The 21,839-nt window shown below is 39.5% G+C and overlaps 1 protein-coding gene across 20 annotated transcripts in view; it reads left to right on the top strand.

The window, feature by feature from the left end:
- Positions 1 to 21,839, top strand: part of LMNTD1 (lamin tail domain containing 1) — a 172,497-nt gene that overhangs the window by 58,904 nt on the left and 91,754 nt on the right. For 11 of the 20 annotated variants that reach the window (XR_931277.2, XR_931276.2, XM_011520575.2 and 8 more), the window contains exons 2-4: positions 3,563 to 3,724; positions 5,064 to 5,254; positions 7,212 to 7,253. The exons of 2 other annotated variants lie outside the window; for them this stretch is intronic. The gene's annotated coding sequence lies outside the window, so the exon portion shown is untranslated. The remainder of the gene's footprint in view (positions 1 to 3,562; positions 3,725 to 5,063; positions 5,255 to 7,211; positions 7,254 to 21,839) is intronic. 7 more of the 20 variants (NM_001352232.2, XM_011520578.3, XM_011520577.3 and 4 more) reach the window with 3 other exon arrangements.

The following is a 21,839-nucleotide window of genomic DNA, read 5'->3' as shown; positions in this document are numbered from 1 at the left end:
GCATCAAAACAATAATCAAATTCCTAATTTTTAATGTAAAAAGTATAAAATGAAATAGATAACATATTGAGAAAAGTATACATAAAGTATATGTAATTTAAAAATAAGTAAAATGAACAAACTCATGCCTACCACCCAGCTTAAGAAACAAAACAAATACAGCATTAACTATGTCTTGAAGTCACCTGTGTCTCCCTCCATCCCCAATCCCAGCCCCTATAAAAGGCAATCTCAGCCATTATCCTGAATTTTCTATTTATCAATTCCTTGCTTTCCTTTGCAGTTTTACCACTGTTGTATGTATCCCTAACGTGCATATATGTGTGTGCCTATAATTTTGTAAGTTTTTAACTTTATGTAAAATACATCATATTTTTCCCAATAATTTGTTTTCTTTAACATGTTTATGAGATTCATTCATGTAGGTGTGTGTGGCTCTAATTGATTTCTGACTGTTATATACATAGACATTTTATTCTTTTTCCAACTGATGAACATTTGGGTTGTTTCCAGAACTTTGCTATAATAAATGATGTTGCTATGAACGTCATTGTACATGTACCTTGGACAGTAATGGCTGGGTTATGGGTACCTATGTCTCCAGCTCTGTTAGATAATCCCTAGTTGTTTTCTAATTCGGTTTCTAGCAATGTAAGAATTTCTGTTCCTCTATACCCTTACTAAGACTTAATGTTGTCTTATTGTGACTTTTAAAACATATTTTATGAGTATTAAATAGTATCTCATTGTGATTTTAATTTGAATTTCCCTGGCTACTAATAATGTTGAGCATATTTCTTATATTTAATGAACATTGAGTTCTGATTTTTTTCCCATTTTCTTCTGAGTATTTGACTTTTACTTATTGATATATAGGCTTTCCTCCCTTTTTAATTGTGAAATAATTTGCAAAAATACATAAAACATCTATGTACAGTTTAATAAATAATTTAAAGGAAATAGCTGTGTAAGGACAACCTAAGACAAGAAATAAATATTTCCAGGACCTCAGAAACCCCACGTTTTGCTAATTCAATCCCATCTTTTGCTCTAGAAGGAATCATTACCTTGATTTTTTTTTGACAATCAATTCTTTGCTTTTTTGATAGTTTTACTATGTATGCATCCCTGAACAATATAGTTTAATGTGGTCTATTTTGAACTGTATGTTATTTTTATACTTTTGGCTTTTACTTCTTTACATCAATATTATACTTGTGAAAGCATGATTTCATAGCTCATCTTGAAGTGTCCAGAATTTGTGGTCTATCTTATTTTAGCCCTACAGCTTGGCCTATAACTCAGATTTACATGGGATTATCTGAGTTGAAATTTAAATAAACTTAAAACAAACTAGTACTCATCGAATTCCACTTACGTCTCCCATTTTACCCAAATTTACAAATCTCTCCATGTTAATTCCAGATGAGTCAGGAGATTTGATTAAATTTCTAGTTAGTTGCTATAGTAGCAGATTTATTTTTGTTTTATTGGTACCTTATTCCTGAACATTTTCCATTTAGTATAATCAGTAATTAACTTTTATACACCCACACTTCACATTTACTATCTCTGAGACATGGCCAGTTCTTTTATTTTCTTTTTTCCTTAATACCAGTAGCCTAACTACGTACCTTAGAAGAACTTCTGATTCTTAGTATGAAACAGCTTGACAAGTTATAACTAAACAAATTTGCTGCCCAAGACCATGGTGCCTGGTAAATATTAATAATTAGGGCCCAAGGATGTTGCCAATTATACATAAGTGAGTTAATTTTTTTAAAAAATGTACTGATATTCACCTAGCTTTTTTGTTTCTGATCTTCTTTCCTAAAATACCCTCTGAATTTAATTCATATTACTTCAGTTCAACAAACAATTATTGAGGGCCTAGGCAATATGCCCTCCCTTAACCATTAAAAAGGAAGAAAGAAGAAAAAAATAGTGATTTCTTCTTCAATGGATTCGTAGTTGATATAGTTGGATGCCCTCTCCAAATCTCTTTTTGGGATGTAATCCCCAGTGTTGAAGGCAGGGCCCATTGGGAGGTGATTGGATCATGGGGGGCAGATTTCTCATGAATGGTTTAGCACCATCCGGTTGGTGCTGTCCTCACAAGAGTGAGTCCTCACAAGATTGAGTGAGTCCTCACAAGAGTGAGTGAGTTCTCACAAGATCTGGTTGCTTAAAAGTGTGTAGCACCCTCCCACCTCTCTCTTGCTTCTGCTCTCGCCATATGACGTGCCTGCTCCTGCTTCCCTTTCTGCTGTGAGCAAAAGCTCCCTGAGGCCTCCCTGGAAGCAGAGCAGATACTGGCACCATGCTTCCTGCACAGCTTGCAGAACAGTGAGCCAATTAGACCTCTTTTCCTTATAAATTACCCAGCCTCCAGTATTTCTTTATAGCAATAATAGAACGAACTGACACAGAAAATAATCCAGGAAAGAAGACATAGGTACAGACAACATAGAGTACAGGGGCAATAATAGAAGCAAGAACAGGTGAAAATCACATAGAGGAGAGATAAATTCACTCTATTAGAGTTCAGTGTGTTAAGAAATGACATCACAGAAGAAGGAGCCATCCAAGATGGTTTTAAGAGGTTGAATAGAAACTTTCCAGCTGAGAGAAACAGGATGGGCAAAAGCCAGAGCTTACAATGGGTTAAGTGAACTACATGTGGTTCAGTGCTGCTGGATCTTTAATCACAAGGGGAAGCCTGAAGAGAGATGAAGCTACAGAGAAGTCTTAAGTCAGGTCACAAAGGGCATGCTATGTGGTTTGTCAAGGAGTTTGTGTTTTAGAAATATAACCTCCAAGATGTTGTGGAATTTAGGTCATCAGCTATACACTAAGTGTTAGGATTGGCTTGACTGACAGTAACTCACCACTTAAAAAGCTAGTCCAGAGATCCAGTTCACCATCGTATCAGAGACTCAGCCCCTTCCTATATTGTTGGTTGTCATGTCAGCCCCAATCTAATGTCTAGGAGGGCATCCACAGTCCATGCAGCAAGCTTAAGCAAGGACAAAGCAAATGAGGGCAAACTGTGCCTGCCAATGGTCTTTCTGAGAAGATCCTCAGAAAGTGCCGCATGACTTTTCAACCTACCTCCCGTTGGTCAGCACTTAGTCACATGGTCACACCCAAACCCAAGGTAAACTGGGAGGAGAAAAAATGAAAGTGGAGGACAACTGGCAGTTTTTGCTACTAAGAAATAAGACATTGGAAGTGAGGAAGACCAATAAAAAGATTACTGCAGTATTTCAGTGGGAGATAACAAGGGCTGCATGAAGGTAGTGTTGGTGAGAATGGAAAGGGAAGCAGGACCTGAGAGCTATTTAGGCAGCAGAGTGGTTAAGAGTTGGTGATCTAGTGGATGGGGTGATGGCTTTTGGTTTTTGGCTTGAGTAGCTGAGTAGGTAGAGGTATCATCATGGGGAATTTTCAACATAAAACAAACGGAAGGGGAAAAAAAAACAAATATTAAAACAAGAAAAAAAATCAAATAGTACTTTTACTGTATAAAATCTACTTGCCTTTGACACTACCCTTCCCCTAGTGCTTCCTCCAAAGGTTTAGATAATCCTTACCAGCAGAAGGGAAGACACCAACATCCAAATGACATAGAACACTGGGCCTTTTCCTTCTACTCAAGACAGTGAGATGGGAAAACTGAATTCCAGACCTAACTGTCACCAACGGGACCAATGACCGAGGGCAAGTGAGTTCATCCTTTGCGACTTAGTTTCTTCATCTGTAAAATATGAAAGTTGAACTAGCTAATGTTTGTGATCTCATTCAGCTATAGAATTCTTGGATTCACTAATCATAGCAATCACCCACGCTAATCAACATCACAAAAAAATGAACAACCTTGTGTCACCCCAGCCATGCATAACTCACCAATGAGAAAAGATAATTGAGGCAAAAACTTAAAGGTCAGGTAAAACACAATTTCCTAATTAGACATCACATCTCTTCAGTTGGCTGTTGGAAACCTAGTTTCGTGTGGTCTGTTGGTATTAAACTTTGGCACATTTACAAAGTATTTTATTAAAGTGAAGAGGGTTTTGCCAATTGCATTTCAAAATTACTTTAAAAGATTTTACCTGGGGGGAAAAGGATTACTTTTCCTATTATGTGCATAAGCCTACATGTGGTTGCTGAAAATATCTCCCTTGAGTTAAGAAGTTTTTTCCTTTTGGTTGGTTAAGTACATAATGTTCCACCTACTACAAAGGATTAAAATGACCTGTTTCATCACAGAGTAAGGTAATCGCAGCAGCATGTGATTTTTGGCAGAAAGAACACTTTGTAATTGCTAATTTCCTACATCTAAATTCAGCTGAAGGTTGCAGCCCAAGTCCATAGTATTTCACAAGTCTTAACAAGCAGAACCCAAGGATGCTGCCAGGTTTTTAGACTGCCAATGAAACTGGAAGAGCAGAGAGTTTGCTGAGGGTGAGCCTTTATGAAGGAATGTTCAAATCCAAGACCCTGAATGTCTTACAGACACATGAAAGAGTCCATGGGACACAACTGTCAGACTCGGGTGTTTATTTTGGCCCCAGACTCTCTTCTCATCTCCTCTGTGCTTTCTGCCAACTGGCAGCTGTCCTCAAGGTCAGACCCTTTATTAAAAAATCAGCAACTTAAATAAAAACCAGTAATGCTTTCAGCAAGTATAATCCGTTTTACTTGAGAAGTGTTTCAACTAGTATTTCTTTTGATGCAAAGAAAGTTTGAAAATATGATATAAATAAAATATTTTAGAACTCACATCTACGACCTCTAGGACCAAATTTGTATTTTTCAGCCATGGAAAAACACTCCTTACTGAATAAGTATTAGACCCCAGTCTATGATGAAAATTTTCCACGTGGCCAAAAGAAAACAAATGCAAATAATACCATCATGATATAATCGACTTTGAAGCTATGATTTTATGTTCCTTAAGTCTCCAAATAAGTTTTAACCCTGTTAGTTGTATTTTAAAAGGAATCATTCTTTGCAGATGTCAAACCAGATGTTAAAATGCGTTTCTTTACTATTTGTCAAAGCATTACATGTAGTCACATTTGCAAGATGGGAGACCTGGAGTTCTGGAGTTCTGGACTAGAGCTGGCAACCTGGATTCTGCATACCTGATTAGGTCTATAAAATGTCCTCAGGCATATAAAATCCGTGCATTAGAAGTCAATTCTCGAAAGTCAAAACATCATATAGGACTTTTGCTGACCAAAAACTAAAGGTATGTGTAGGAGCTGATGTGCCATAGCTTAAAGAGTACAGGTTCAGTGGTTACACTGAGCAGTGCTCAAGGCCAAGCTTGTCCCTTCTTAGCAAGACAACCTTGGGTCAACCACTTAGCCTACCTCAAAGTTAATTTTTGATTGTTTCAATTGTGCTTTAAGTGAGAAAAATCATAAATATATTGTATACATCATATATATTCATCACATATATTATTGATATATATAAATTGGCAGCTCAATTCCTCTCATTGCTCAGGTCTAAATCCCTGGAGTCATCTTGTCTTCTCTTTTCCTCTTACACTTCCTATCTAATCTGCCAGCAAATTCTGCCAGCTTTGCTTTCAAACTATATCCAGAGTCCGAACACATCTCATCACCTCCATTGCCACCATTCTGGAGGTTGGTGCCATAGGCTCTCCCTGGATGATGGAAGCAGTCTCATCTTCTCTGGTCTCTCTGCTTCTTATTCTCTTAATTTCAACACAGAAGCCAAAGTAGTCCTTTAAAGACACAAGCCAGATCATGACACTCATTGGCTCAAGGTTCCCTGGCTTGTGATTTTCCTTCTCTCTCAGAGGAAAGCCAAAGTCCTCCCCCTGTACTGATAAGACCCTGAGGCTCTGGCCTCTCCTTCGCCTCTCACTCATTTCTTATCACTGTCTAAGCCCATCCCCATCACTCTCTGCTCCCTCTCCCAGCCTTACTAGGCTCTTTGCCAGGTCCTATCTCAGATCTCTGCACTTGTGGCTCCCTCTACCAGCGGAGGCTGGTGCATTAACCCAGGTACAAGATTACAAGGACAAAATATTAGAATTGAATCACTGAGATTCAAAAAGATACGGGGAAATCCAAGGCACATTTAAGAATGAGATATGATATCTCAAATAGGAGCAAGGGGATTAAAAAGGGTAAAAATAAAATCTGTGTTCCTATATTGTCTAAAGATATTTTTGGCCAGGTGTGGTTGCCTGGTAATCCCAGCACTATGGGAGGCAGAAGGAATGAGGATTGCTTGAGCTCAGCAGTTCAAGACCAGCCTGGGCAACATAGTGAGACCTCGGCTCTACTAAAATTTTTTAAAAACATTACCGGCCGGGCACGGTGGCTCACGCCTGTAATCCCAACACTTTGGGAGGCCGAGGCGGGTGGATCACGAGGTCAGGAGATGGAGACCATCCTGGCTAACACGGTGAAACCCCGTCTCTACTAAAAATACAAAAAAAAAAAATTAGCCAGGCGCAGTGGCGGGCACCTGTAGTCCCAGCTACTCGGGAGGCTGAGGTAGGAGAATGGTGTGAACCCGGGAGGTAGAGCTTGCAGTGAGCCAAGATACCGAGATAGCACCACTGCACTCCAGCCTGGGCGAAAGATCGAGACTCCGTCTCAAAAAAAAAAAAAAAAATTATCCAGGCATGGTGTCACGAACCTGTAGTCTCAGCTACTCAGAAGGCTGAGGCAGGAGGATCATTTGAGCCCTGGAGGTCAAGGTTGCAGTGAGCCATGATCGTGCTACTGCACTCCAGCCTGGACAACAGAGTGAGACCTACTCTCAAATAAATAAATAAACTGCTTAAATAACTTATTATATATTAGGTGACAAAAGTTTTCAGGTATAGGTTTGGTGTGCATTTCGTAGTTAGCATTGCAAACTATCTCCTAACTCTAAAATTCTATAATTAGCAGATACTATAAAAATGATTATGAAAATCAAATACAGATGATTTCTCACATAACTCTGCTTATAGAGTATTGACACAGTCTTATTTAAATATCAAATTTAGGTTGTCATATTTTAAAAAGTTTTTTCCAGATGTATGGTTTCATGAGAAGCCATCTGCAACTTCCAAAAATTTATTCGGAGCCCATGAAGTTTTAATGTTTCCGCACTTTGAGGTCTCCTATTGAATATTCCACTTTTCTCATGATCTAAGTGTTTTGTTTGATTCTTTATAGGCTTCTGAGCAAGATCACCATTTGGAGACAGACTTATCTAAAGTGAGTTATAAATTTGTATGCAATTTACCGATTAACAGGTATGAAAAATAACAGCTGATTTAATTTAATTATTACATCATAGGATGATAAGCTTGGAAGTGAGCTTTGCATAATATTCCCTGTCATGACCGTCCTCTGTTGACACAGATACATAGACAGGGTTATTTGTGGCTGTAGAAAATGTGAAGCAGACAGTACTTGGAAGTGAAGGGAAGAAACCACAGCAAGATCTTGCCTGTAATTCTTCTTTTGGTCACTCTGGCATCCTAGTTAGATCCTGAAAATCCATATGGAGCTACCATATAATCTTCCTCTCCCTCAGTGAAGAAACATTTCAGACCTGTTGGCTGTGGGACCCATGATACCAGGCTTTTGCCCCTTCACATGGATGAGGATGAGATAAAAGTCGAGGAATAAAGGAAGTCAGGTGTAAATAAAAGTAAATACAGCCAAGTCCTGCATAAAGATCTTTCGATCAATGATGGACTTCAAATATGACAGTGGTCTCATAACATTTTATTGCATTTTTACTGTAGTCTTTCTATGTTTAGATACACAAATACTTAGATTGTGTTACAATTGCCTGCAGTATTCAGTACAGTAACATGCTATACAGGTTTGTAGCCTAGGGGCAATAGGCTATCCCATATAACCTAGGTGTGTAGTAGGCCATACCATCTAGGTTTGCATAAGTACACTTTGTGATGTTTGCACAACCAAAATCACCTAATGATGCATCTCTCAGAACTAGAACATATACCCATCATTAAGCAACACACAACTGTATATTTTCTAAACTAGATTTAACTCTTTATAATATCAATTATTTTTGTCAGTTTTTATGTCAGAATTTGATACCTATGATGATAAAGTTTAATCAAAAGAGTAATATATTTGAAAAATAATGGCTTCATTATTAAATTCTGTGATTTAGAGGTGCTCAATTTCTTGTCTTAGAATCGCCTTTCCTAATCCTAATAGGTTCAAAGAGTCAGAGAAACAACATAACTATGATAACATTACCCATCTTGACAGCTGACCTGCCAACTACATTACCTTGTTGCTCCTCACATTTTATCAGCAAAAGAGATGCCTCCATTGAAAATGAATCCAGATGTTTTAAACGCAGATGCTTTGGAGATAAAACAACAGTAGTTCTGTTTGACAAATAAAGCACTGCGCGGGGCCTTTAGCTTATCCCTAGTATATAACTCTGGCCATATGACCATTTCTCAGCAGCACAGTCAGCACTGGCTCATAATAATAGGCATGCAGTCCATTGTGATGTCTTATGTACGCTGCTACAGGATGCTTCCAGGAAATATAAGCCTTATCTGCCTTTTCCTCCTCTCTTTTGATTGGAGAGATTGCTGTTCAGAATAGAAATCTTCTCTACTAACTTAAATTAGTTCCAAGTAGGCTAAAGCTTACTGTTCATGGGGGATTATATGCCATGTCCTTAAATACATGGTCTTACTTGTTCTCTTAACAACCCGGTAAGGGAGGTATCCATTTCCCCATTTTGAAAAGGAAGAAATAGATCTCAGAGAGGTTAAACAGCTTACCAAAGTCTCATAGGTTTAAGAGATTGCTCTCAATTCAATTTCCGGTTTGTCTGATTTCAAAGTCCAGGATTTTCCCACCCAGGTTCAAAGAAGGAAAAGTCATGAAATTACCCAAACTAGAGGTTACTATATCTGACCTCTGAACTTACCAAATCCATAGTGTAGCTTTGATCGTTAAACAGGTTGATGATAATTTTGGTATAGATCAGGCAAATTTCACAATTATTTAGATAAAAGTAATTCTGTTTTAGAAAGAATTACTATAAAGACTGTCTATATTTTGTTCATTTTATCAAACATATAAGGGTACAACTATATGAGGATATTATGCCAGTCCCTGGAAATAGGATGAATAAAGCACAGCCCTTGCCCTTAATCTCGTAGCATCATGGTAAAGATAGATTTGAAATAATGCCAGCAACTGGGAGTGTTATTCATAATATTTAATACTTGTGCTGAACAAGTACCCACCAATCAGAATGGAGACTGACTATATACAGCTGGTATGGATGGCCACAGTGCAAATGATTGCGTATCAGTTTTGCCTTAACAATGGAATCAATACTGAAATAGAGATACATGAAAACATCAATGGAAAGGTGGATGGAAGGAGGGGCCAGAGGGGGTCATGAAAAACTACAAAATAGAGATGATGCATGATCTGAACCTTAACAGATAAGTGGGAGTTTTCCATTGGACAAAAGAGGACATGGCATTCTAGGCAGAGGACACAACTAAACTGAACAAAGCCTGGGTGGCATAGGGAAGTGTCTAGTAGCCTACTGTGGTTAGATCACAGGGCTTGCAGAGAGTAGTTGCACATGATAATGAAATTTGTCTTAGGCCCAATCATGAAGGGCCTTAGCAAATCTAATAAGTTTTTACTTTCTTCTCTGGGTATCAGAGAACCCAAATAATTACATCTATGCTTGAGATAATTTGTGGGGTACAATAGAGAATGCACTGGCAGGGGAAAACTGCTCAGAGGCTCGCTGGGTAGTTCTGGAGAGATGCGATTGGAGTCTATACCGGTATTGTTGAAAAGAGAAGGGGATGGATGCAAGAGGCATTTGATAATATGTAGTGGTTGGTTGAGTATACTGAGAGAGGGAAAGGAGGAATCAAGAATGAGTCCAAAGCTCTTGGCTTGAGCAATTTAGTTGGTTTTTACTGAGATAGCACAGGGAGATGGAGATAACATCTCCAGGATGTTTGGAAATTGAGCAAGATAATAAGCTTGGTTTGGGGCATAGTGTGCCATACAGAACACCTAGATAGAGAAGTCAAAGAGGCAATTAGTATTATTATAGATAACTGATAGCACCTGCCCTATTTATTAGTCGATGCCTTGTATAGTCATCTTTTGGTATCCATGGGGGATTGGTTCCAGGACCTTCTGCAGATGCCAGAATCCTTAAATGCTAAAGTCCCTGATATAAAATGGTGTGATATTTGCATATAACCTACACATACCACCTGTATACTTTAAATTACCTCTAGATTACTTACAATAGCTAATACAATGTAAATGCTATATATATAGTTGTTATACTGTGTTTTTTAGGTAATAATAGTAAGAAAAAAGTCTGTACATGTTCAGTACAGATGCAACTATTCATTTTAAAAAATATATATTTTTGATCTGCTGTTGGGTGAATCCACAGAAGCAAAATGCACAGAAATAGAGGGCTGACTGTGTATATTTACACTTACTTGACAGATAACTCATAGCCTAGGAAGGAGAAACTTGAAAACTAAAATATGTAATTACTCCTCCTTTAGGAGAAGTTATGTTGAAAATAACATGGATTAGGTTAGTGCTTTTTCTGAGCGTAATGCTATCTTTTTCCACCATGTTTTCATTTGTCTAAGAACAGAATCAGGATGCTGAACAGATCTGCCTAAATTAGATCAGCTTAATTTGGTTAGATGGTTTGGGTCAATTTATAGATTGCACATCATATTTTATAAATATCAACATGTATTTTAAAACTTAATTTTGCTTATTTGGATTTCATTGTACTGTTAAGGCCAAAGTTAGATTTTGACTGCTTTACAGGTGAGTTTGATTTGCAAAGATCGCTGAGACAGGTCTTTGAAGGATGTTTTCATTATTTTGCTTTAGTGAATTTCAAGATTGCATATGCTGTGTTATAGTAACAGGCTGCACATAAAAATTCAATGCTGACTTGGCAAATGGCAACTGTGGGAATTGCCAAGTTTTGGTTCATAGTCTGAATCTGCACTAGTCTACACAGTGGTAGTGAATCTTCATATCAAGGAGCAGTATAGTATTAAACAGATCCCTCATTTACATAGTTTTGCATTAAACTGATTCACATACATATGTAATACATTGTGTGACTGTATCTCAAATCACATTGAAATCATATTTTACTTTTATTTGGTTACTTGCTCCTATGAGGATCTCCAGGAAAAAAAAGCTATGGAGTTGAGTAATTTACTTTTGGCACATTCTCACTTACTGGTGCCACTATTTTCCAACCTACAGCCCTTAAACTAGCTCTACTTACCCAGTAACCGTCATTGCAGTATTTCACCCACGTATACAGATCACCTTTGCTCCTCCTCCCTAGGTGTCATTTAAACTCATATTTAGGGTAAATGCTATATTTTAGGGATTTCAGTTTATTCACAGTAGTGTAAACATGATTGGACAATCTTCTTAAAGTGTGTGTGTGTGTGCATGTGTGCACATGTGTACCCTATAACATAGAATGTCTTCTTAGATGAATGAGCTGCTTCCTGTTGTGTTCTGCAAAATGGGAGAAAGGAGAACAAATAAGCACGTGGACAACTAGGCAGGTGAACAAGGGAAGAAGCCTGTCCATGGAGTGAAGTCAAGGTGCTAGTAGGTAGGAGGATTCAGTCCAGTGGGATTAGAGAAACCCAATCTCACCACCTGCTACCAACCCCATATATGCTCCCACCATGGGCATGATAGGACAGGGAAGTGGGATCAGCACAGACCCTGATGCCTCACACGCGCAGAATCTATTTACTGAACTTAGAAAATAGAGCTGGGCAATATCATACTGAATGGGCAAAAACTGGAAGCATTCCCTTTGAAAACTGGCACAAGACAAGGATGCCCTCTCTCACCACTCCTATTCAACATAGTGTTGGAAGTTCTGGCTAGGGCAATCAGGCAGGAGAAAGAAATAAAGTGTATTCAATTAGGAAAAGAGGAAGTCAAATTGTCCCTGTTTGCAGATGACATGATTGTATATTTAGAAAACCCCATTGTCTCAGCCCAAAATCTCCTTAAGCTGATAAGCAACTTCAGCAAAGTCTCAGGGTACAAAATCAATGTGCAAAATTCACAAGCATTCACCAATAACAGACAAACAGAGAGCCAAATCATGAGTGAATTCCCATTTACAACTGCTTCAAAGAGAATAAAATACCTAGAAATCCAACTTACAAGGGATGTGAAGGACCTCTTCAAGGAGGACTACAAACCACTGCTCAACGAATTAAAAGAGGACACAAACAAATGGAAGAACATTCCATGCTCATGGGGAAGAATCAATATTGTGAAAATGGCCATACTGCCCAAGGTAATTTATGGATTCAATGCCATCCCCATCAAGCTACCAGTGACTTTCTTCACAGAATGGGAAAAAACTACTTTAAAGTTCATATGGAACCAATAAAGAGACTGCATTGCCAAGACAATCCTAAGCCAAAAGAACAAAGCTGGCAGCATCACACTACCTGACTTCAAACTATACTACAAGGCTACAGTAACCAAAACAGCATGGTACTGGTACCAAATCAGAGATATAGACCAATGGAACAGAACAGAGCCCTCACAAATAATACTACACATCTACAGCCATCTGATCTTTGACAAACCTGGGAAAAACAAGCAATGGGGAAAGGATTCCCTATTTAATAAATGGTGCTGGGAAAACTGGCTAGCCATATGTAGAAAGCTGAAACTGGATCCCTTCCTTACACCTTATACAAAAATCAATTCAAGATGGATTAAAGACTTAAATGTTAGACCTAAAACCATAAAAACCCTAGAAAAAAACCTAGGCAATACCATTCAGGACATAGGCATGGGCAAGGACTTCATGACTAAAACACCAAAAGCATGGCAACAAAAGCCAAAATTGACAAATGGGATCTAATTGAACTAAAGAGCTTCTGCACAGCAAAAGAAACTACCATCAGAGTGAACAGGCAACTTACAGAATGGGAGAAAATTTTTACAATCTTCCCATCTGACAAAAGGCTAATATCCAGAATCTACAAAGAACTTAAACAAATTTACAAGAAAAAAATCAAACAACCCCATCAAAAAGTGGGCAAATGATATGAACAGACACTTCTCAAAAGAAGACATTTATGCAGCCAACAGACACATGAAAAAATGCTCATCATCACTGGCCATCAGAGAAATGCAAGTCAAAACCACAATGAGATACCATCTCACACCAGTTAGAATGGCGATCATTAAAAAGTCAGGAAACAACAAGTGCTGGAGAGGATGTGGAGAAATAAGAACACTTTTACACTGTTGGTGGGACTGTAAACTAGTTCAACCATTGTGGACGTCAGTGTGGTGATTCCTCAAGGATCTAGAACTAGAAATACCATTTGACCCAGCCATCCCATTACTGGACATATACCCAAAGGATTATAAATGATGCTGCTATAAAGACACATGCACACATATGTTTATTGCGGCACTATTCACAATAGCAAAGACTTGGAACCAACCCAAATGTCCGTCAATGATAGACTGGATTAAGAAAATGTGGCACATATACACCATGGAATACTATGCAGCCATAAAAAAGGATGAGTTCCTGCCCTTTGTAGGGACATGGTTGAAACTGGAAACCATCATTCTGAGCAAAGTATCGCAAGGACAGAAAACCAAACACCCCATGTTCTCACTCATAGGTAGGAATTGAACAATGAGAACACTTGGACACAGGGTGGAGAACATTACACACACTGGGGCCTGTCATGGTGTTGGGGGAGGAGGGAGGGATAGCATTAGGAGATATACCTAATGGAAGTGACGAGTTAATGGGTGCAGCACACCAACATGGCACATGTATACCTATGTAACAAACCTGCACGTTGTGCACATGTACCCTAGAACTTAAAGTATAATTATAAAAAAAAAGAAAATAGAGCTAGGGTTCTTGCCTCCCTTGTTCCTGGAAAAGAGGCAATTGGCCTGGTTAAAATGTCAAAGAAGCAGAGGTTTGTTTTTATTTTATATCTTCCCCATTGAGCTATTTGCAGACCTTTCTTTGTCTTTAATGGAAGCAACATACAGCATTAGTTCTAAGATGACATTTTTCACAATTTAACACCTCTGACATTGGGATGCATGGTACAATCAATGGCATTTTATGGCATTGCTGTTGCCCTGGAATGAATCTCTTATGGAAGCATTTATTTCCAACAGTTAACTAGGGACACTACCAGTCAGAGACCACTTCAAATTAAATTCTCTTCTAGAGGTTTTTCATCACACCAATAGTGTGTATTCAGACCTCATGCTGATGTGACTAATGGCTTGAGGTTCAAAATCTCAGAGGAGATTTTTATTTTCTCCCTCCTCTCATTGCAAAGGTTGAGAAATAAAAATCCCTTGGGGTGTGGGGTGTCCCAGCTTCATGCCAGAGTTTCCTATTAGACTCCCTATTTTGGGGCTTTTTTTCTTGGTAGCTGATAGAATAATGGTGCATCTTATAGTCAAAAGAATGGAAGAAATTCAATATAAGAAGTGAAGAAGTTCACCAGGGACAAAAAGCCTTGCCAGTTTCTTACTTCTGAGCAGCAGCAACGCCTTCTTCAGGTCTTTGCCTGTCTTTTAGAGCCTGCCAACACCTCTCAAAGAGCCAGGTAATCACCCTCCAGATGAATGATTCACTATGTAATTTGTAAGTATAATGGGATTTGTTAATTTGTAATTTCATCAAGATGTAATTTGTGAGTAGAGATTGTACCAAAGCTATAATTACCAGTGTGGTGATTTTGTTCCTTCTTTTTGCAAATACTTACAAGGTGTCTATTCTGTGCACTGGAGAAGGAATAAAGATGCTCAATAAACGATCCATGACCGCAGGGAGCTTAGGACCCGTTATGATTAGATAAGGCATACACAAAAACAACGGTAATGAAATATAGAAAGTGATGACACTGGGGGACGGAATAGCAAGTGTGCCCCCATGAATATTCAGGAGAGAGGAATTATTTCTAGTTTGGGGAGAATCAGAAAATACTTTATGAAAGAGATGAGTGATAATCATATTAACATTAATAATAACAATAATTATATTTCAAGTGCCTTACTCACATTATTTATTTAATCCTTCATGACATGGGTATTAATTTCATTTTACAGATTAGAAAACTGGCTTTGAAAACTGAATACAACTTTGGAGTCAGAAGCGGTGTGGGAAAAATGTTGTCATCTGTGAGAACAGTCAGAATAAAGGCCTGGATGGGGGAGGGCAAGGGTCACTGGCAAAGATACCACACAGATTAATTTGGTTAGAGGATGAGCTGGGTCAAGGCAAGTAACAAGAGAGATAAAAATGAATATTTTGTTTGAGCTAGGTAATGGAGGAACAGATGGGAGTTGTCATGGAGATGGAATAAAATAAGGTGGCAAAGGGTTCTAGAGTTGCAAAGAAGAAAGTTTGTCAAAGACAAATGATTTGGAGATTGGATGTCTGGGAAAAAGTGATATGAGGAGAAGAACTAGTAAACACAAGAGAATATGGGGCATTGAGTTCTGTCCTAAAGAGCTGAATTATAAATGTCCTGATACTGGCTGTGCTAGTTGAGAAAAGGCTTGAGGGGAGAGGCAAGCAAGGTCTGAGTAATAATCAACAGTGGTAGGTTTATAAAAGTTCTGAACATCAAGGATAGAGTCTCCCTAGAGGGATATCTAGGGCAGGGTGAGGCAAACTCAAGTCCAGTTAGGCAGGTCCCACGATGCTCCGAAAGTGATCCTCATAGCATGAGACAGGGAGACTCATGTGGTAGGTGAAGATTAACTCATCAGGGAAGATTTTCAGAGCCTGATGAAAAAAGTGAAAGATCAAAATCAAGCCGCGAGGAAAAGGATTGATTTAGGCTAAGAAGTCAGTTTTATCCTCCCCATTACAAGTTGCCAATTTCCTAGGGAACAAAGATACTTCCAATTCTGCTCCTAGTGAACTGGCAAAAAACAAAATAGGCATCACGGACCTGGGCAAAAGGACCAGCTGAACACCCTTCTGGGCATGATTTTGCAGTTTTTTCATCTTTCCCTGGCATGTTATGTTGTGACCATATGTGGCCAACTTAGGGCTCTGTCCGTTTTAGAGTGCTCAGACTTTAGGCATGGGGAAGTTAAAAGACTGCATTATTTCTAGATCCTCTTTGTTCATAGGCAAAGTAGCTGACATCTCCTGCCAGCCTGAATTCTCATTAATTCTAGGACTGGATTGGGCTCTGCTGCCTCTAGTGAGGTACCTAATAATTAGAGACAGCTGAGAAGGGTTGGAAAAATCTGGAACTTGTAGTAGGCAATTGGAATTGTTAGACTAGAGCTTAGGAGACACGTATAATCAGAGATTTTAGAGTCAAAAAGATGTAATGGTTGAAGATAAGAAAAGGAGTGAAGTTACTGAAATAAGAAAGGAAAACAAACAGAGAAAAGGCCAAGGACTGACCAGATGGATTCTCTGAATTTGGAGAAAGACAGGAGGTCGGGGAGTTGGACGAGAATTTAGAGGAGAAAAACAAGAAAGAGCGATATAGACAAACAGAGGAGAAAGTGCAAACAGAAGAGGGATTAATCATGTCAGTGCTGCAGAAGGAGACTGAGGATTAAAGTCATTAGATGGATCTACTAGGAGGACACTGTGACCCTGAGAGCAGGCGTGACTTACCTGCAAGGGAAGAAAGCATAGCACAATGGGAAATGCGAGTGAGCAGTAAAGAAATAAAGCAGTATAGCTGTTTTTTTCCCTAAAGTTATCTGGCAGAAGGAAGGGAGGGAGGGAGGGAGGGATGGAGGGATGGATGGATTGGGAGAGGGAGGAAGAGAGGAAGGAAATATGCTAGCACAGTAGCTCTGAGGGGTTTTTTGCTTTTTGTTTTGATTTTCAGGTCTTTGTTCTAAGTCTGCAACCTCTAATTTTCCATTGTCTTACTGCCTCTACTTCATGTCACATGGTATTTTTGTTAATATTCTCAACTCTCTCCCTTTTTCATTCCTTCCCCTCCTCCCCAGTGTAACCCTGCAGGTTTCAATGTTGTGAGTTTGGATTTTTTGTTGATTGGTATTATCTGTATATGGTCTTCATTTGACTAGTGACACTATGAAAATGATGGATTTCTGTACACACATAGGTTTCCCCAACAGGATTTTAATTTATATTGACGCTTTGGAAAGAATATAAAAACATTCTTGTATGCCATCAAATCATTTAAACAGTCTCACAAATAGATACAACTTAGCCATTTGCATCAAATAAAATTAAATCACAATACTCTGAATATAATGGAAGGGGAAATACTTTTTCTTTTTAGCACTAAAGGACCTTTCCCATAATGTTCAAATGATTAAAGTTAATAAGATGGATGATTAAATAATAGATGTAAGTTTTTGAGTACCTAATTTATGTCATATTCTTATGACAATGCTCTTTCTATCCCCATTTTACAGAAGAAGAGATTGAAACCTATGAAGTTATTTTACATAAGTTCTCATAGCAAATCAATGGAGGATCCCTGATTTGCACTGAAACGTATCTGGCTCCAAAACCTAGGGGAGGAACCTCTGGTCTCCATTCATGCCACCTCCACCTTTCCTACCTTTATAGAAATCCACTTGGTTGAGCTGGGTGTGGTGGCTTATTCCTGTCATCCCAGCACTTTGAGAGACTGAGGCAGGTGGATCAACTTGAGGCCAGGAGTTTGAGACCAGCATGGCTAACACAGTGAAACCCCTTCTCTACTAAAAATACAAAAAATTAGCTGGGCATGGTGGTGGTCACCTGTAATCCCAACTACTTGAGAAACTGAGGCACGAGAATTGCTTGAACCCGGGAGGCAGAGCTTGCAGTGAGCCATGATTGCACTACTGCACTCCAGCCTGGGCAACAGAGCAAGACTCTGTCTCTAAATAAATAAATATTTTTTGAAAAGGTTGGGAATGGTAGCTCATGCCTGTAATCCCAGCATTTTGGGAGGCCAAGGTGGGTGGATCACGAGGTCAGGAGATCGAGACCATCCTGGCTAACACAGTGAAACCCTGTCTCTACTAAAAATATAAAACATTAGCCGGGTGTGGTAGTGGGTGCCTGTAGTCCCAGCTACTCATGAGGCTAAGGCAGGAGAATGGCGTGGACCTGGGTGGCAGAGCTTGCAGTGAGCCGAGATCGCACCACTGCACTCCAGCCTGGGTGACAGAGCGAGACTCCGTCTCAAAAAATAAATAAATAAATAAATAAATAAATAAATAAATAAAAATACTTTTTTGAAAAAAGAAATCCCCATGGTGACTGAAGCTAAAAATCATTTCACATTGATACGAGAACAAAATCTTTCAGATCTTTTATTTTTCAGGAATGTCATTTACCTTAATTTCCTAAATAACTAAATTTAGTTTTCATTTGCTGAGGTAATTTGTCTCCTATCCTAAGGGGCCAATTTTAAAACTGGTCTACTCAGAACTAGTTATAGAATTTACGGGACCCCTTGTTAAAAATTACTAAGGATTTCAAGGCAGCAACAACAGATCATTAAACCAAGCATGGGGCTCTGCTGAGCACTGAGCCACCTATGACTGTACAGGTCACAGGCCCATAAAGTGGGCCCTGGGTGTACTTTTAAACATGATTTGTTAAGGCTGCTCAGCATTTACTCCATCCTATCTATTACTAATAACAGCAGAATGAATTTTACTCCTACTGAACTAACAAAGAGGACCTTTCCCATAATGTGCAAATGATTGCTTGTAGTATTAATGTACTGCAGAGCCTTTTAAAGAGATTGCCTCTAGAGCCACCAACCAAAGAATGGAGTGGGCTAGCAAAAGTTTCTTTTAGTATCCTATAATTCGTCTAATTATTGATCCACTAGGAACAAACACATGGTTACATAATGCATACTGGGAATGCATTCAACTCCTAGGCCTGGTGTTCAAGGCTCTCCACAGTCTGGTCTTCCCTGTCTCTCTGGCTCTACTTGGCACTCCCCACCCATGCCATCTCTTGCCTCAGCCAATTAGTTCATCTTTGCTGTATCTGCTTGTACTTTCATCCCTGCATTTTGATGCATGCCAGAAAAGTACATACAACACTGCCTAGCCACTGCACACACTTAATATGTGTATTTGTTGATTGATTGAATGCATGCATAAAGAAATTAGTTAACAAATGCTTTCCTTCCTGTTCTCTACCTTTCAAAGTTCTATCCAACCTTTGAGGCCCACTCATGTCACCTCTTCTATAAAGTCTTTCTAACTACAACAGTCAAAGTAATTGCTTCCCTTATTTGAGCCTTTGAAAAAACTATTCCTTTGGTTCTTATCACATTCTGTCATGCACTATATTTATTTTTTATTCGCAGCTACTATAGTTTCATCTAAATAATAAATTCCAGAAGACCAAGGAGCATGCCTGAAACATGTTTATATATTATAGAGTATCTATTCAATTGCCTTGTAAACGATGGCGCTCAGTATTTTGCAGGGAATGGTATAATATAATGATTGAGAATGCAGCCTCTGAAGTCAGACAAAACTGAACTCTGGTCCTGGTTCTGCTACTTTACAGCTGTGTGGCTTTGGACAATTATCTGACTGCTAAAGGCATCGATTGCCTCATTTGTGAAAGGCAGACAATAATACATCATATATTAGGCTGTTCTTGCATTGCTATAAATAAATATCAGAGACTGGGTAATTTATAAATAAAAGAGGTTGAATTGGTTCACGGTTTTGCAGGCTGCACAGAAAGCATGGTACCAGTATCTGCTTCTGGTGAGGGCCTCAGGGAACTTACAATCATGGTGGAAGGCAAAGGGGAAGCAGGCATCTCCCATGGCAAGAGTGGGAGCAAGAGAGCAAGGTGGGCAGGGGGTGCTATACACTTTTAAACAACCAGATATCATGTGAACTAACTGAATGAGAACTTATCACCAAAGAGATGGTGCTAAACCAATCATGAGTGATCTGTCTTTGTGATCCAGTCATCTTCTACCAGGCCCCACGTCTTGCACTAGGGTGGGGACAAATATCCAAACCATATCATTCTGCCCCTGAACTCCCAAATTTCATGTCCTTCTCACATTGCAAAACACAATAATCTCTTCCCAACAGTCCCCCAAAGTCTTAACTCATTCCAACATCAAGTTTAAAGTCCTAAGTCTCATCTGAGACTTGTCTCCTTCTACCTATGAGACTACAAAATCAAAACAAGTTATTTACTTCCCAGATACAATGGTGGTACAGGCATTGGGTAAACATTCCCATTCCCAAAGGGAAAAGTTGCCTAAAAGAAAGTGCCAATAGCCCCATGCAAGTCTGAAACCCAGCAGGGCAGTCATTAAATTTTAAAGCTCCAAAATAATCTCCTTTGACTCCATGTCCTCCATCCAGGGCACACTGTATAATGGGTGGACTCCTAAGGCCTTGGGCAGCTCTGCCTCCATGGCTTTGCCGGGTGCAGCCCCTGCAGCTGCCTTCATGGGTTGGAGTTGAGTGCTTGTGGCTTTTCTAGGCACAGAGGGCAAGCTGCCAGTAGCTCTACCATTCTGGGGTCTAGAGGGCATCAGCCCCCTTCCCACAGCTCCACCAGGCAGTGCTTCAGTTGGAACTCTGTGTCAGGGCTCCGACTTCATATTTCCCCTTGGTGTTGCCCTAGTAGAGGTTCTTGTGGAAGCTCCTCCCATGTGGCAGGCTTCTACCTGAGTTAGGGGTTAGGCAGAAGCCTAGGAGGCTTTCTGATACATCCTCTGAAATCTAGGTGGAATTTGCCAAGCCTCCTTTACTTTTGGATTCTGTGCACCTGCAGGCTTAACATCATGTGGAAGCTGCCAAGGAATAAATAGCTTGTGCCCTCTGGAGCAGTGGCCTAAGCTGTATCTGGGGCACTTTGAGCCATGGCTGAAGCTGGAGCTGCAGAAATGAGGGGAGAAGCACCCCCAGGTGATGCAGGGCTTTGGCATTCCAAGCCTGGCCCATTAAACCATTCTTTACTCTAGATCTCTGGGCCTCTGATAGGAAGAGCTGCCTCATAAGTCTCTGAAATGCCTTCCAGGCCTTTTCCCTATTGTCTTGGCTATCAGTACCTGGCTATCTGTCAGTCATACAAATCTCTCTAGCAAGTTGTTGTTCTGCAGTCCACTTGTGTTCTTCCCCTGAAAATGGGCTTTTCTTTTCTGCCACATGGCTAGGCTGTGAATTTTCCAAACTTCTAGGCTGTGCTTCTTTTTAAAATATATGTTCCAATTTTAAGTCATTTCTTTGCTTTCACATCTGAAAGTAGGATGTTAGAAGCAGCCAGGCAACATATTGACCGTTTTGCTACTTAGAAATTTCTTCCAACAGATACTCTAAGTCATCACTCTTAAGTTCAAACTTCCACGGATCCCTAGGACATGGACACCATGCAGTCAAGTTCTTTGCTAAGGCATAACAAAGGTGACCTTTGCTCCAGTTCCTGAAAAGTCCCTCATTTCCATCTGAGACCTTCTCAGACTGGACTTCACTGTCCATATCACTATCAGTATTTTGGTCACAACCATTTAAGTGGTCTCTAAGAAGTTCCAAACTTTCCCTAATCTTTCTATCTTCTGAGCCCTCCAAACCCCTCTAACCTCTGCCCGTTACCCAGTTCCACAGTTGCTTCTACGTTTTCAGGTATCTTTATAGAAACACCCCACTTCTCAGTACCCATTTTCTGTATTAAGCCACTCTTACATTGCTATAAAGAAATACTTAAGACTGGGTAGTTTATAAATAAAAGAG

Source organism: Homo sapiens, chromosome 12 (genome assembly GCF_000001405.40).
Source record: "Homo sapiens chromosome 12, GRCh38.p14 Primary Assembly".
Classification (NCBI taxonomy): Eukaryota; Metazoa; Chordata; class Mammalia; order Primates; family Hominidae; genus Homo; species Homo sapiens.
The sequence above is the reverse complement of the archived record's forward strand: the minus strand, read 5'-3'. Positions and strand labels throughout refer to the sequence as shown.